The sequence below is a fragment of the Homo sapiens genome, chromosome 8 (genome assembly GCF_000001405.40).
Source record: "Homo sapiens chromosome 8, GRCh38.p14 Primary Assembly".
Lineage (NCBI taxonomy): Eukaryota > Metazoa > Chordata > Mammalia > Primates > Hominidae > Homo > Homo sapiens.
This window is the reverse complement of record NC_000008.11, coordinates 53,906,922-53,923,136: the sequence shown is the minus strand read 5'-3', so window position 1 is coordinate 53,923,136 and position 16,215 is coordinate 53,906,922. Positions and strand designations below refer to the sequence as shown.

The 16,215-nt window shown below is 40.1% G+C and overlaps 1 protein-coding gene and 1 pseudogene across 7 annotated transcripts in view; both read right to left on the bottom strand.

The window, feature by feature from the left end:
- Positions 1-16,215, bottom strand: part of RGS20 (regulator of G protein signaling 20) — a 107,509-nt gene that overhangs the window by 36,167 nt on the left and 55,127 nt on the right. Inside the window, exon 2 of one of the 7 annotated variants that reach the window (NR_104578.2) lies at positions 9,215-9,640. The exons of the other annotated variants lie outside the window; for them this stretch is intronic. The gene's annotated coding sequence lies outside the window, so the exon portion shown is untranslated. Of the gene's footprint in view, positions 1-9,214; positions 9,641-16,215 lie in introns of those variants that run through there. 7 annotated transcript variants of the gene reach the window in all.
- RNU6-1331P (RNA, U6 small nuclear 1331, pseudogene) lies at positions 8,313-8,418 on the bottom strand (annotated as a pseudogene).

Below are 16,215 nucleotides of genomic sequence, written 5' to 3'. Positions count from 1 at the left end.
TATACACCTTAATATGTACAGCAGTAGTAGCCACAAAACAGTAGGGAGAGAAAGGAGCTACATATAAGAGAAAAGTTTCTATATCTTACTAGAATTAAGGTAGTATACATCTAAAGTTGATTCTGATACATTAAGGTATTATAAGCATTATAGAGGCCATGAAGAAATTACCTCAGGGCCAGGCACATTTTCTCATGCCTGTAATCCCAGCACTTTGGGAGGTCAAGGAAGGAGGCTCACTTGAGACCAGGAGTTCAAGACCAGCCTGGACAACATAGTGAAACCCCATCTCTACAAAAAATTTAAAAAATTAGCTGGCATGAGGGTGCACACATGTAGTCCTAGCTACTTGGGAGGCTGAGGCAGGAGGACTGTTGAGCCCAGGAGTTCGAGCTATGATTGCACCACTGCACTCCAGCCTGTGTGACAAAGTGACACCCTGTCTCAAAGAAAGATTAAAAATTAAAAAATATACACATACAGTGAAAAAATAACTAAAGTAAAATGGTACACTAGAAAATATCAACATAAAACAAAGGAAGTTAATAAGGGAGGAAAAGAGAACAGAGTAGTCATGAAATATATAGAAAGTGAAAAGAAAAACACAAAGGTAAATCTAAATGGATCAATGACAATGTGAAAAGTGTGCAGATTAAACAATCCAATCAAAAGATAGAGATTGCCAGAATGATTACAAACATAATCCAACTATATGCTGTCTACAAGAGACATACTTTAGATTCAAAAATGCAAATAGATAGAAAGTAAAAGGATGGAAAAATATATATCTGGCAACAGCAACCATAGAGAGCTGGAATGGCTCTAATAATAGCAAATAAAATACTATTAAACACAAAATGTTACTAGAGATTAATAGGGACATTTTATAATGATAAAAGAGCTAACGTCTCAGGAAGATACAACAATTATAAATATATATACACCCAATAACAGAACCACAAAAATACATACAGCAAAAACTAACAGAATTGAAGGGAAAAACCGACAATTCAATGATAACAGTAATAAAGTTCAATACCTTGCTTTCAATAATGGACAGAACAACTAGATAGAAGATCAACAAGCATATGAATAGAGGACATCAGGACACTATAAACTAACTACACCTAACAGACATCTATAGAGCACTCCACCTGCATCAGTGGAATACATATTCTTCTCAAATACACATGAAAATTCTCCAGAATAGACCATATAATAGGCCGTAAAACAGCCTCAACAGATTTAAAATCATTATTATAATACAAAGTATGTTTTCCAAACACAATGGAATAGAAAATAGAAATAGAAAAATACAAAAGAGAAAATTCATGAAACCAAAAGTTAGTTATTTGAAAAGATCAACAAAATTGACAAACCTTAGCTAGTTGATGAAGAAAAATGAAGACTCAAATTACCAAAATCAGGAATGAAAGATGGGAAATTACTACTGATCTTACAGAAATAAAAAGAACGATAATGGAATACTGTGAACAACTGTATGCCAACTAATTAGAAAACTTAGATGAAATGGAAAAAATCCTGGAAAGTCATAAACTAACAAAATTAACTAAAGAAGAAAAAATCTAAATGGAACTTTAACAAGTAAAGAGATTGGTTAGTTATTTTAAAAAATCCTACAAAGGAAAGCCCAGATCTGTTCAGGCTGGTGTATTTAAAAAAAAAAAAAAAAAGAAAAGCTCAGCTCAGCTCAGATCAAGTTGGTTTCACCGGTGAATTCTACCAAACATTTAGTAAAGAAGGACTACCAGTTCTTCAAAAACTGTTCCAAAAAATGGAAGGGGAGTGAATACTTCCCAACTTATTCTCTGAGACCAGTATTACTCTGATACCAAAACCAAATAAAGACACCATAATCATCTTTTATGAATACAGTTGCAAAAATCTTAAAATACTAGCAAACGGAATCTAGCAACATGTAAAAAAAGGATTATATGCCATGACTAAGTAGAATTTAATGTAAGAATGCAAGGTTAGTTTAACATAAAAAATAAACATAATAGCCATACCAATAAAATAATGGACAAAAATCATAATAGACAGAGCAAGATTATTTTGTCAGGCACAGTGGCTCACACCTGTTATCCCAGCACTTTGGGAGGCCGAGGTGGGTGGATCACCTGAGGTCAGGAGTTCAAGACCAGTCTGGCCAACATGGTGAAACCCTATCTCTACTAAAAAATACAAAAATTAGCCAGGCGTGATGGCATGTGCCTGTAATCCCAGCTACTCAGGAGGCTGAGGCAGGAGAATCGCTTGAGCCCAGGAACTGGAGGTTGCAGTGAGCTGAAATTGCACCACTGCACTCCAGCCCGGGCAACAGAGTGAGACTGCCCGTCTCAAAAAAAAAATTATTTGACAAAATCTAATGCATTTCATGATAAATAATATTCAGCAAAATTGGCATATAAGGAAGCTTCCTAAACCTGACCAAAGTCACCTATAACACACCTATATCTAAGATCATATTAAACACTGAAAGACTGATGGCTTTCTCTCTAAGATCAGAAATAAGAAAAAAAATCTACTTTTACCACTTCTATTCATACTACATTGGAACTCCAGCCTCGGCAGTAAGGCAAGAAAAATAAATAAAAGGCATTCAAATTGAAAAGGAAGTAAAACTATCTCTATATCTCTATTTGCAAATGACATGATCTTGCTTATTTAAAAATCCTAAGAATTCCACTAAAAACAAACAAAAAAAACAATTAGAACTAATAAATGAGTTCAGCAAAGTTGCAGGATACAATATTAACAAAGAAAAATCAATTGTATTTCTGTACACTAGCAGTGAACATTCTGGAAGTGATATAAGAAAATAATTCCAATATAGTATCAAAAGAATAAAATAATTAGAAATAAATTTAATAAAAGAATTATAAGATTTATACACTGGAAACCACAAAACGATTGTTGAAAGTAAAGAATATCTAAATAGGTCTGGGCATGATGGCTCACATCTATAATTCCAGCACTTTGGGAGGCTGAGGTGGGTGGATCACTTGAGCCCAGGAGTTTAAGATCAGCCTAGGCAACAGGGTGAAACACCTTCTCTACTAAAAGTACAAAAAATTAGCTAGGCATGGTGGTGTGCGCCTGTAGTCCCAGCTACTCAGGAAGCTGAAGTGGGAGGATCACATAGCCCAGAAGTTGAGGCTGCAGTGAGCCAAGATCACACCACTGTGCTCCAGCCTGGGCAAAAACAAACAAACAAACAAACAAAAAATCTAAGTAAGTGGAAAGATATCCCATATTTATAAAATATAAGACAATGCTGTTAGGATGGCAACATTCCTCAAGTTAATGTACAGATTCAATGCAATCCCTATCAAAATCCCAGATGCCTGTTTTGTTTTCTTTTTAGAGATAGGGTCTTGCTATGTTGCCCAGGCTGGACAACATAACACCTGGGCTCAGGTGATCCTCCTGCCCAGAAGTTGAGGCTGCAGTAAGCCAAGATCGCACCACTGCATTCCAGCCTGGGCAACAGGGCAAGACTGTCTCAAAAAAAAAAAAAAAAGAAAAAATGTTATGCTTCAAACGACACCAGACCAGCATGATCAACATGGTGAAACCCTGTCTCTACAAAAAAAATATACAAAAATAAGCAGAGCCTAGTGGCACGTGCCTGTAATCCCAGCTACTCAGGAGGCTGAGGCAGGAGAATCTCTTGAACCTGGGAGGCGGAGGTTGCAGTGAGCCGAGATTGTGCCATTGCACTCCAGACGGGGTGACAGAGCAAGACTGTCTCAAAAAAAAAAAAAAAGTGAAAAGACAACCCACAGAGTGGGAAAAAATATATGGAAGTCACATATTAGGTAAGAGACTTGTATCCAGGATGTATAAAGAACTCTTGCAACTTAAGAAAAAGGAGAGAAAACCCAATTTAAAAATGGAGAAAGGATTTGACTAGATATTTCAAATGGCCAATATACACATGAAAAGATGATTAACATAATCAGTCATTAGGGAAATAAAATCTCTACCACAATGAAATACTATTTTATTCCTACTAGGATGGGTAAAATAAAAGTAGACAATTAGTGTTAGGATGTGAAGAAATTAGAATCCTCATATGCTACATGTGAGAATGTAAAATGGGTTGGCCACTTTGGAAAACAGTTTGACAGGTCCTCAAAATGTTAAACATGAAGTTTCCAAATGACCCAGCAATTCTAGTCCTATATATGCCCAGAAAACTGAAAACACATGTCCACACAAAAACTTGTAAACAAATGCTGTTTGTTTATTGTTGTAAACATTATACATAATGGTCACAAAGTGGAAAAACACAAATATCTATCAACTGATGGATAAACAAAATATGATATGTCCATACGAGGCAATATTTATTTAGCTATGAAAAGGAATGAAGTACTGGATCCTGCTACAACATGGATGAGCCTTGAAAATATGTTAAGTGAAGGCTGGGCACGGTGGCTCATGCCTGTAATCCTAGCACTTTGGGAAGCTGAGGCAGGTGGATCATTTGAGGTCAGGAGTTCGAGACCAGCCTGACCAACATAGTGAAACCCATCTCTACTAAAAATACAAAAAATTAGCTGGGTGTGGTGGTGGGCACCTGTAGTCCCAGCTACTCAGAGGCTGAGGCAAGAGAACTGCTTGAACCCGGGAGGCAGAGGTTGCAGCAAGCTGAGATTGCACCATTGTACTTCGGCCCGGGCAACAAGAGCAAAGCTCCGTCTCAAAAAAAGGAAGAAAGAAAAAAAAAGAAAATATGTGAAGTGAAGTGAACGAAGGCAGACACAAAAGGCTACATAATGTATGATTCCATTTATAAGAAATTTTCAGACTAGGCAAATCCATAGAGACTGGAAGTAAATTAGTGGTTGCCAGGGGATGGGGTAAGGGGAATGAGTGACTGCTAGTGGGTGTGGGATTTCTTTTCAGAATTATGAAAATATTCAGGAATTAGTGGTGATTGTTGCACAACTTTGTGACTGTGCTAAGAACTACTGAACTGTATATTGTAAAATGGTGAGCCTTACGGTGTATGATTTATATGACAATTTTATAAAAGGAATGCAGGACTCATACATGCTATGGCATGACTAAGTCTTAAAAACATTCTGTTAATTGAAGGAATCAAGACCCCGAAGTCCACATGTTGTATAATACTTGTACATGAAATGCCCAGAACAGGTATGTCTAGAGAGACAGAAAGTAGAATAGTGGTTGCCTAGGGTTGGGAGCAGGGAGAGAGAACGGAGAATGACTACTAATGGGTACAAGGTTTCTTTTGATGAAAATGTCCTAAAATTAGATTATGATGATGGCTGCACAACTTTGTAAGTATACTAAAAACTACTGATTATGATTGACTGAGACAGAGTCAGTCTCTGTCGCCCAGACTGGAGTGCAGTGGTGTGATAGTAGCTCACTGCAGTCTCCAACTCCTGGGCTCAAGTGATCCTCCTACCTTGGCTTCCCAAAGTGCTGGGACAACAGGTATGAAACACTGTGCCTGGCCTGTGCTCTTTAAATGAGTAAACTTTATGGTGTGTAAATTTTATCTCAATGCTGTTTAAAGGTAAAAGAGTAAGGGAGTGTAGAGTTACCAGTTTCAATGTACATTTAACAGGAGTTTAATATAAGGAAAATGGAGATAATGATGGGAAAATAACAGTTAAAAAGAAAGTAGGAGGCCGGGCATGGTGGCTCATGCCTATAATCCCTGCACTTTGGGAGGCTGAGGCAGGCGGATCACCTGAGGTCAGGAGTTCCAGACCAGCCTGGCCAACATGGTGAAACCCTGTCTCTACTGAAAATACAAAAAATTAGCCAGGTGTGGTGGCATGTGCCTGTAATCCCAGCTACTCAGGAGGCTGAGGCAGGAGAATCACTTGAACCTGGGAGGCAGACGTTGCAATGAGCTGAGATCGCACCACTGCACTCCAGCCTGGGCAACAAGAGTGAAATTCCATCTCAAAAACAAAACAAAACAAAACAAAAAACCAACCAAACAAAAAGAAAGTAGGTGTTCTGAGAATTTCCAGAACTGAAAAAAACACAAATCCTCAGTGCTACAGACTGAATGTTTATGTCTACCACAAAATTCATTAATTGAAGCCCCAAGGTGATGATATTTGGAAGTGGGGCCCTAGGGAGTGATTAGGTCATGAGAATGGGGCCTTTATGAAAGGGATTCGTGTCCTTATGAAAGAGGCTTCACAGAGCTCTCTCCCTCTTTATCTACCCTGTGAGGGTGCGGTGAGAAGACAGTTCCTGGTTTCTGGCAACCAGGAAGCAGCCCTCACCAGACACCTATCTGCCAGTGCCTTGATCTTGGACTTCCCAGCCTCCAGAACTGTGAGAAACAAATTTGGTCGTTTGAGCCACCCGGCCTATGGAATTCTGTTATAGCAACATGAATTGACTAGACACTCAGAAAGTCTCTCTCTTTACAAAGCAGGACAAATAAACAAAAATCCACTACTAGAAATACCATGGTAAACTTTAAAACATCAGGAATTGACAGATAAGAAGCTTCCTACAAAAGTTTCCTACAAAAGAATGACAATTAGGCCAACAACCATACTTCTCTTCAGCAACAACAGATCCCAGAAGAAAACAGATAATATCTTCCTCTGAGATAAGACTCAGAGAGCTTATCTCTCACAGACCGTTGCAAAAAAATTATTAAAGCATATTTTACCAAGAAAAATAGATCCCAAGGGGAAGTATGGAATTCAAGAAACAATAGTAAATCTAGAATTTGATAAAATATGTCAGTAAATTTAATTAAGTACTGTCTGCAAAAATGGGTCTTAGGCTGGGCTCAGTGGCTCATGCCTGTAATCCCAGCACTTTGGGAGGCTGAGGCAGGCAGATCACTGGAGGTCAGGAGTTCAAGACCACCCTGGGCAACACAGTGAAACCTTGTCTCTACGAAAAATAAAAAATTAGCCGGACTTTGTGGTACATGCCTGTAGTCCCAGCTCCTTAGGAGGTTGAGGTGGGAGGATCCCTTGAGCCCAGGAGGTGGAGACTGCAGTGAGCTGTGGTCATACCACCGCAGTTAGCTTGGGCAACAGAGTGAGACCCTGTCCTCGGATGAATATTTGCTGATCTCTCACAGACTCTTGCAAAGAAAATTATTAAAGCATATTTTACCAAGAAAAGTAGACCCCAAGGGGAAGTATGGAATACAAGAAACAATAGTGAATCTAGAATTCGATAAAATATGGTAAAATATGTCAGTAAATATGTCAGGTGGGGTGGTTCATGCCTATAACCACACCTGCCTGAGAGGCTTGATTGAGGCCAGGAGTTCAAGACCAGCCTCGACAACATAGCGAGACTCCAATTCTAAACACATTTTTAAAAAAGAAAGAAACTCGGGCACCAGCCCTGTCCTTGTCCTCAGATGATTCAGAAGACTCCTGGGGAGAACCTGGCAAAGCATGAGAAGTACAGAGACTGCAGCTTCCCTCCGGACTGCCTGAGACTCAATGGGAGGGCCTGGTTGGAACAGCCAGGTCTAGGAAAAAGGGAAGCGACCCAGCTGCATGCATGGGTGAGTTTTTCCATGGGAGACATGGAAGGTGGCCAAGCTTGAATCTTCTTGAAAGATCCTGTGCAAAACTGTTGGACTGGGGAGGAGAACCCCAGAGCTGTATGACTGGGACCAAAGCTGAAGAGGTCAGGCAGGAGTGGGGAGATCCCTGTAGAAGAAAGACTGGTCTGAACTCCGGGAGATCCCTGTAGAAGAAAAACTGGTCTGAACTCCCATTGACCAATACCACCTCTGTCTTCAGCAGTGCTGCATCCAAGGCAGCAGAGCTCGGAAAGGAGAGAAAGCAGAGAGGAACTGGAAGGGCTATCCTCCTCTCCCCTGCCACTGTTGGTCTGCGCAACCTCTGGAGAGGCCAAAGCTGGGTGAGGGGAAACTGAAATGGAGGGCACTAAAGTTTGATTTCAAGGGGACTGAACTTTTTTTTTTTTTTTGAGACAGAGCCACACTCCGTTGCCCAGGCTGGAAGTGCAGTGGCGCGATCTCGGCTCACTGCAACCTCGCCTCCCAGGTTCAAGTGATCCTCCTGCCTCAGCCTCTCAAGTAACTGGGATTACAGGCGTGCATCACCACACCCAGCTAATTTTTGTAGTTTTAGTAGATACAGAGTTTCACCATGTTGGCCAGGATGGCCTCAAACTCCTGACCTCAGGTGATCCACCGCCTTGGCCTCCCAGAAGTGCTGGGATTACAGGCATGAGCCACCGTGCCTGGCAGGGACTAAACATTAAAAAAATTTTTTTTCTTTTTTTTTCTTTTTATGGAATGCTTCATGAATTTGCATGTCATCCTCGCGCAGGGGCCATGCTAATTTCTCTGTATTGTTCCAATTTTAGTATATGTGCTGCTGAAGTGAGCACTGAAATTTTTTAACGCCTGAAAATGAGACTGTTCTAATACTGACATTGACTTGAAAAGCTATAGAATCTGCATGAGATAGAGTTGAGGGGAGAGGAGGGGAAAACCGATACTGTTTGAACGTGGTGATAGGAGAAGAAATTCACTGCCTGTTTACACTCAGTTCAGTCTGGCTTGTTAAATTAGTGAACTACATAAAGAAACTAAGATTATCTAGTGCACAAGAATGGATAAAAGGTGACAGCAAATATCACAAATTACAGTTTGGGGGCAGGGACATGAAGGGAGATCTGTAAGGGATAAGATCAAAAATAGGAAGAGAAAGAAGGAGAGAATGGGGAATCCACAGTGGACCCAAAGTACCAAGGTTAAGAACCTAAAATTGGATTGGCATCAAAGAACTAAGAAGGGCCTGTAATCCCAGCTCCTTGGGAGGCCAAGGTGGGAGGATCACTTGAGGCCAGGAGTTCAAGACCAGCCCAGGCAACATTGCATGACCTCTATCTCTACAAATATTTAAAAATTAGCCAGATGTGGTGATGCATGCCTATAGTACTAGTTACTCAGTAGGCTGAGGCAGGAGGATCACTTTAGCCCAGAAGTTTGAGGCTGCAGTGAGCCATGACGGTGCCACTGCACTCCAGCTTGGCTGACAGAGCGGGACCCTGTTTCAAAAAAAAAAAGAGAGATTGGAAAAAAGAGAAAAGAAAAGAAGGAAGAGGAAAAAAAGAAAGGAAAAGGAAAATATAGCCAAGGCCAGAAGTCATGGTGCCAGAGCTCAGTAAGTGATCGAAGTAGCCACGTCCACACACCTTTTATTAGAAACCTCAATTTCTATGTAAGAATAAACTTTAACATCTGGATTAGTTTCCTAGAGCTGCCATAACAAATTACCACAAACCCGATGGCTTAAAACAACAGAAATTTATTCTTGCACAGTTCTGGAGGCTAAAAGTTCAAAACCAAACCGTCAGCAGGGCCAGGCATCTGCCTCTGAAGGCTCTAGGGGAGGATTCTTCCTTGCCTCTTCTGGCAGCCTCGGTGGCAACAGAAACCCAATCTCTGTCTTCTTTGCCACTTGCCCTTCTTCCCTCTATGACTGCCTGGGTCTTTGAAGCTCTCCCTCCTTATAAGGTCACCAGTCGTTGGATTTCAGGCCCGCCTTCATCCAGTTTGGCCTCATCTTCACTTGATTAGCCAGATGTGGTGGTGCATGCAAAGACCCTGTTTCCAAATAAGGTGATATTCACAGGTATCATGGTTAGAACTTCAACATATATTCTGGGGGGACACAATTCAACCCATAACAATGTCCAACGTGGAGTGAGGAATAGGATCTCCTGTGAAGCCACTTTAATGCTTCTGTCCCGAACTGTCAAGTGCATTAGATGACTGGACATTTTAATCTACAGCTGAGTTGACTAACCAGTGTGATAATTTATTAATATTATTTTTAGGCTGGGCATGGTGGCTCATGTCTGTAATCCCAGCACTTTGGAGCCTGAGGCGGGTGGATCACCTGAGGTCAGGAGTTTGATACTAGCCTGACTAACATGGAGAAACCCCATCTCTACCAAAAATACAAAAATTAGCCAGGCGTGGTGGCAGGTGCCTGTAATCCCAGCTACTTGGGAGGCCGAGGCAGGAGAATTGCTTGAACCCAGGAGTCGGAGTTTGCAGTGAGCTGAGTTTGCACCACTGCACTCCAGCCTGGGCAACAGAGCAAGACTCTGCCTCAAAAAAAAAAAAATCAATTGCAGTGCATTGAAACACATAAAATATGTGTAAAACTATGAATTCATAATGATACTAAAAAAACTTACTGACTACTTTTAGACAGTGATAGGGAACAATTTTGAAAACTGATAAATAAGGGGAAAGAATCAAGTTTTTATCCTACTTTTCCTATAAAAATTATACTTCAGGGTAACCTAATAGTTTAAGGATAAGTTTTTCTTTTAAAACATTTTACTCACTAATAAATTAAAAAATCATGGATGAAGAAATCACATATACAAACATACACATGCACACTACATATGTATATATACACAAATAAAATCACCTATGAAAAAATGTTCAGTTTTATCAAAAGTAAATTTAGAAAAATATTGGTATTCTCAATGAAGTATCAGAATAGACAGATGAACAGTAGCTGGAATCCAGTGGGATGAATTCATTTGAGGAATGTAACTAATGAAAGATTTCATAAATACTGAAGATGCAAAATTGAAGTTAAATGTGATTCAAGAATAAATATTAAAATTTATGTGGCAGGAAATCATGCAAAACAAAGAGATGCAAATTAAAACCAGGTATCTTTTTTTGATATTTTTACCTACAAAATTGGCAAAAAAAAAAAAAAAAATCAAGATTAACTGTATCCATTGTGAGGACTGGGGGAAATTGGCTTAAATCTCAACTCCATTGTTGATTAGCTGTATGAGCTTAGAGAAGTTATTCCATCTTTTTGAGTCTTGGTTCCTTCATCAATAGAACTGGGATACTGAGTATCCTGGAGGTGAAGATTAAATGAGGCGATACTGGTGAAGCACTTCAAATGTGCTTGCAACACATAGCACTCAATAAATGTTTGCTATGTGGTTATTCCTATGCATAGGAATTTGCAGTCTTGTGATTTATGTTCCTATTATGAATAGGATCTCCCTTCATGAATTTTCCTTTTTTTGGCCATCTTTGTCCAGTTTAAATATCCTTATTTTTCTGCCTTTTAAAACAAAGTTGGAAATGTTCCATCTTTTTATTTTTATGTATTTTTTGACACAGAATCTCACTCCATCACCCAAGCTGGAGTTAAGTGGCCCAATCTCGGCTAATTGCGACTTTCACCTCCCGGGTTCAAGCGATTCTCATGCCTCAGTCTCCCGAGTAGCTGGGATTACCGGCACACACCACCATGACCAGCTAATTTTTTTGTATTTTTAGTAGAGATGGGGTTTCACCATGTTATGTTGGCCAGGCTGATCTCGAACCCCTGACCTCAAGTGATCCACCCACCTCAGGCTCCCAAAGTGCTGGGATTACAGGCAATGAGCCACCGTGCCTGGCCAGGGCCTGATGCCTTTCTTAGGGACAAATCTCATAACACCTTTTCGATTTTTTCTACGTAGTTTAGGATCTTCTACTACCATATGACTATATTTTAAATTTATATTTTTTCAGAAAAGTATCTATCTTACCTAAGATTTTCAAATACGTTGGCATTAAACTTGTACATGTTATTTGGTTTTTGTGTAAAAAAGTCTTGATCCAGTTATGCACCGTAACTCATTTCTGATGGTTTGGGCTTTTCTATCCTCTTATCTGAATCAGATTTGCCAAAGGTTAGTCTGTAGTTCTGTTTCCAAAGAATTGGCTTTAGGTTTTATGGATCAATTTTGCTTTCTGTTAACTGTAAATTTCATTAATTTCTGCTTTTATTTTCATTATTCTTCATCTACTTTTTAAAAAATGGCTTACTTTTCTCCTGGCCTCTCACACTAAAGTTTTAGTTCATTTACTTTCAGTCACTGCTGGTTTTTAATAAGTGGGTTTAAAAGTACAAATTTTTATCCAGTTACTGCTTTGATCATATCCACTGAGTTTTGCTAGATAGCACTATTTTTATTTCCAAATAGCTCAGATCTAATAGTTCACCTCCAAATACCTCAGATCTAATTGCAGCTCAGATTTTTTATCCACAGCCTTTTTAAAGTTTATTTTTAATTTCTTGACTAGCCTGACTAGTTTGTATGTTTCTTTACATTTTGATCAGAAAATGTGGCCTGTATGATTTTAACATGTTTAGGTATATTATTACTTTGTAGATTGATATGATAGTTTTTCCTTTTCCAAAATATCATACAAATTAAATCATATGGTATGCATTGTTTGGAGTCTGGGCTTCTTTCACTTAGCGTAATGCTTTTGAGATTCACCTGGTCGTGTGTATCAGTAGTTCATTCTTGTTTACTGCTGAGTAGTACTCAATTATATGGTTATAACTGTCTGTCCAGGCACCTACTGATGGACATTTGTGTTATTTCCTGTTTTGGGTGCTTATGAATAAAGCTTCTATAAACATTTGTGCAGAGATTTTTGTGTGGGTGTATGTTTTCATTTTTCTTGGGTAAATACTCACTGGGTCACATAGTAAGTGCATGTTTATTCGCTTTCTAAGAACATGCCAACTTGTCTTTCAAAGGAGCTGTATCTTTTTTCTGTTCCCACCAGCAATGAATGAGAGTTTCAATTGTTCCACATCCTTGTCAGTAGCTGACATTGTCAGATTTTTTTTTTCCTGGCGATTTTAATAGGCGTAAGTGGCAGCTCATGGTGGGTTTAATTTGCATTTCCCTCTTGACTGATAATGTTGAACATCTTTTCATGTATTATCTGCTATGGGTACCTCTTCCTTGGTGGAGGGTCTTGGTAATTTTTTTTGGCCCATAGCCTGAAGCAAGAGCCCCTCAAATACCAGCTTTGTGCTCTTGCTGGTACCAGGGCATCTATACTTTTGCTGGCTACATGGCTTTCTTCATGTTCCTAATAGTGCTTTGATTGATTCTGTTTTATGTAAAGGTGTTTAATACATATGTGATGAATGATTAAAGAACTAATAATGTATCCCTCTGTGTTTTACCTCATGACTCAATGCATCTTTACCCTTTCTGTTTGATAATGTAACAGGGAATTTAATAAAATGTATGAACCCAGCCCAGGAAGGCATTTGTCCCTGCTCTCTTCAACTATCTACTGGTCACCTTCATTTCCCCAGTCTCAGACACTCTAGATACAAAGGACTCTAGAAGGAAAGAGAGAGAATACACACCCAGCAGACATTTTCCTTCCTCATTAGAGTTTCCATCACCTCTGTCCTTCCACATCAGTCAAAAGTTGTCAAAGACAAGTGTATCATACACATTTAATCCATTCTCAGAAATGGTTCATCATTATTCACACAACAATTCCTTCCCACTGTATTGCTACTTTCTATAATGTTACTTCTCTACCAGAAGCAAGAAACCTCCAATATCAAGTACCAGGACTATGATATCATTCTGCCATAGGAACATTAATATATCTCCAAATTTTTAATATAAGCATGCATTTAAATATCTACCTGTACACTATTATAATAACAGCCTTTAAAAAAAATAGCATAAGGGGCTGGGTGTGGTGGCCCACAGCTGTAATCCCAGCACTTTGGGAGACCAAGGCCATGGGCGGATCACTTCAGCCTAGGAGTTTGAGACCAGCCTGGGTAATATAGGGAAACCCTGTCTCAACAACAACAACAACAAATTAGCCATATATGGTGGTGCGGGCCTATAGTCCCAGCTATTTGGGAGGCTGAGGCTGGAGGATTGCTGGAGCCTGGAAGGCAGAGGCCACAGTGAATTGAGATAACACCACTGCTCTCCAGCCTGGGTGACAGAGTAAGACCCTGTCTCAAAAAAAAAAAGTATATATATATATATATATATATATATATATATATATATATATATACACACATACCATAATGGATAATAGAGTACTCAGAATCAAATGGACCCAGTACCACCACTACCTGTATGACCACAGGCAGGTCACCCCAACTTCTCTGTGTCAAATCAGGAAAATAATAGTATCTGGCTCATGGGGTTGCTGGGAGGAATAAATATGATAATTCATGTAAAATCCTCACATAGTGCCTGGAATTATTAAATGCTCAACAACTGTTACCAAGTATATTTTTAAAAAGAATAACATGCCATAAATCCATCATGCCAATATTTTAAATTTTATTTTGCATTTCCTTCCCTTTGTTCACAAAAATTATTTACATGATTACAAGAGTATATATATGATTTTGAATGCTGCTTTATAACTTTCTGTGTTGATATGATAGTTTGTTTATTTATTTATTTATCTTGAGACAGGGTCTCACCCTGTCACCCAGGCTGGAGTGTGGTGGTGCAATTATAGCTCACTGCTACCTCCGCCTCCTGGGCCTCAGGTGATCCTCCCACCTCAGCCTCCTGAGTAGCTGGGACCACAGGTGTGAGCCACTGCACCCAGCTAATTTTTTTTTTTTTGAGATGGAGTTTCACTCTTGTTGCCCAGGCTGGAGTGCAATGGCATGATCTCAGCTCACTGCAACTTCTGCCTCCCAGGTTGAAGAGATTATCCTGCCTCAGCCTCCCGAGTAGCTGGGATTACAGGCACCTGCCACTATGCCTGGCTAATTTTTGTATTATGAATAGAGGCAGGGTTTCACCATGTGGCCCAGGCTGGTCTCAAACTCCTGGGCTCAAGTAATCAACTCAGCTTGGGCTCCCAAAGTGCTAGGATTCCAGGCATGAATCACCGCTCCCAGCAGCAGTCTGTATAAGTTTTAGTAGCTCGGCAAGTCCAGTGTTTTACTTTTCTGTATCTCCATTATCTATTGCTTTATTCCAACTATTGCTTCTAACTTTCATGACTTCCTTTCCATAGCTGCCTTGTCTGCATGTGCCTGCCTTTATTTTTTGCTTTCAATGTTCTATAAAGAACATTTCTAAGAGTTAATCACCCATTATCCCATCTCCCAACGTTTTCCATCTTTTTGTTCCATATGCATATGCCGTTTTCAATAGTTTCACTGTCAATGATCTTCAGATTGAGCGCTCTCTGTCAAGCATCATGAATGCGTCAGGCAGCTTTGACCTTTCATCACCTGCCTCACAACTTCATTGAACCCGAGACTCTACCCTGCAGAATGCACTTCTAGATGGATTTTTTCTGGGCTGGCATTGTGAGTATTTCAGGGTCAGGGTGACCGTACCTCCTACCTCTGATGGCTGCACAATGACACAAAGGCAGGAATCCCAAACCTCACCCTTAGACACGGTAGCCGGTAATGACCTTTAAACTTAATCTGTATCCTGGTTAAATCTTTTGGCCCCTCATTTCCTACCCCTCTAAAATGCAAAGTGTAAGCTTGCCATTCATTTTCTGGGATCCTAAGAAGCCATGAGATGCAGGAGCCTGTTAGCCTGGCCTCTGGCCTCCCAGGAGAATCATTACCTGCCCCGCCACTCCTCATCCCCAAGAGCGTCTCTCTTACTCTTTAAATATTTTGGAAAGATTCTTTAAATCTTTTTTTTTTTCCTGAGATGGAGTCTTGCTCTGTCACCCAGAGCTAGAGTGCAATGGGGCAATCTTGGCTCACTGCAACCTCAGCCTCCTGGGTTCAAGCAATTCTCCTGCCTCAGCCTCCTGAGTAGCTGGGATTACAGGCTCGTGCCACCATGCCAAGCTAATGTTTATATTTTCAGTAGAGACAGATTTCACCATGTTGGCCAGGCTGGTCTTGAACTCCTGATCTCGTGATCTGCCCACCTCGGCCTCTCAAAGTGCTGGTATTACAGGCGTGAGCCACCGCGCCCAGCCAAGATTCTTTAAATCTTAATAGATACAGGAAGGCTAACAAGACATAGAAAACATCAAATGCTTCAGAAAAAAAATGTGGTTCACAAGCAGGAGGAATCTGCATGCTTTGTTATCTGAGATAAGGAAGAATGGGACCAGTGTGAAGGCAGCTCTGATACCAAGCCACCCGGCCACTTAGCTCCATTGCTTCTCCCAGATTTTTGTTACGATATGCTACAGAGTTAATTGATGGGACATTTCTTTCTGCTTTCACATTGAAGAAATGACTAATGACATTAAAATGGGGTGGAACGTGAAGCCAGAGAGCTATGTCTGGGGATTTTACAGCTTTGGTAATCCCCAATATACCAACTATAGCAGATGGACACAAACAAGGGAGTCTC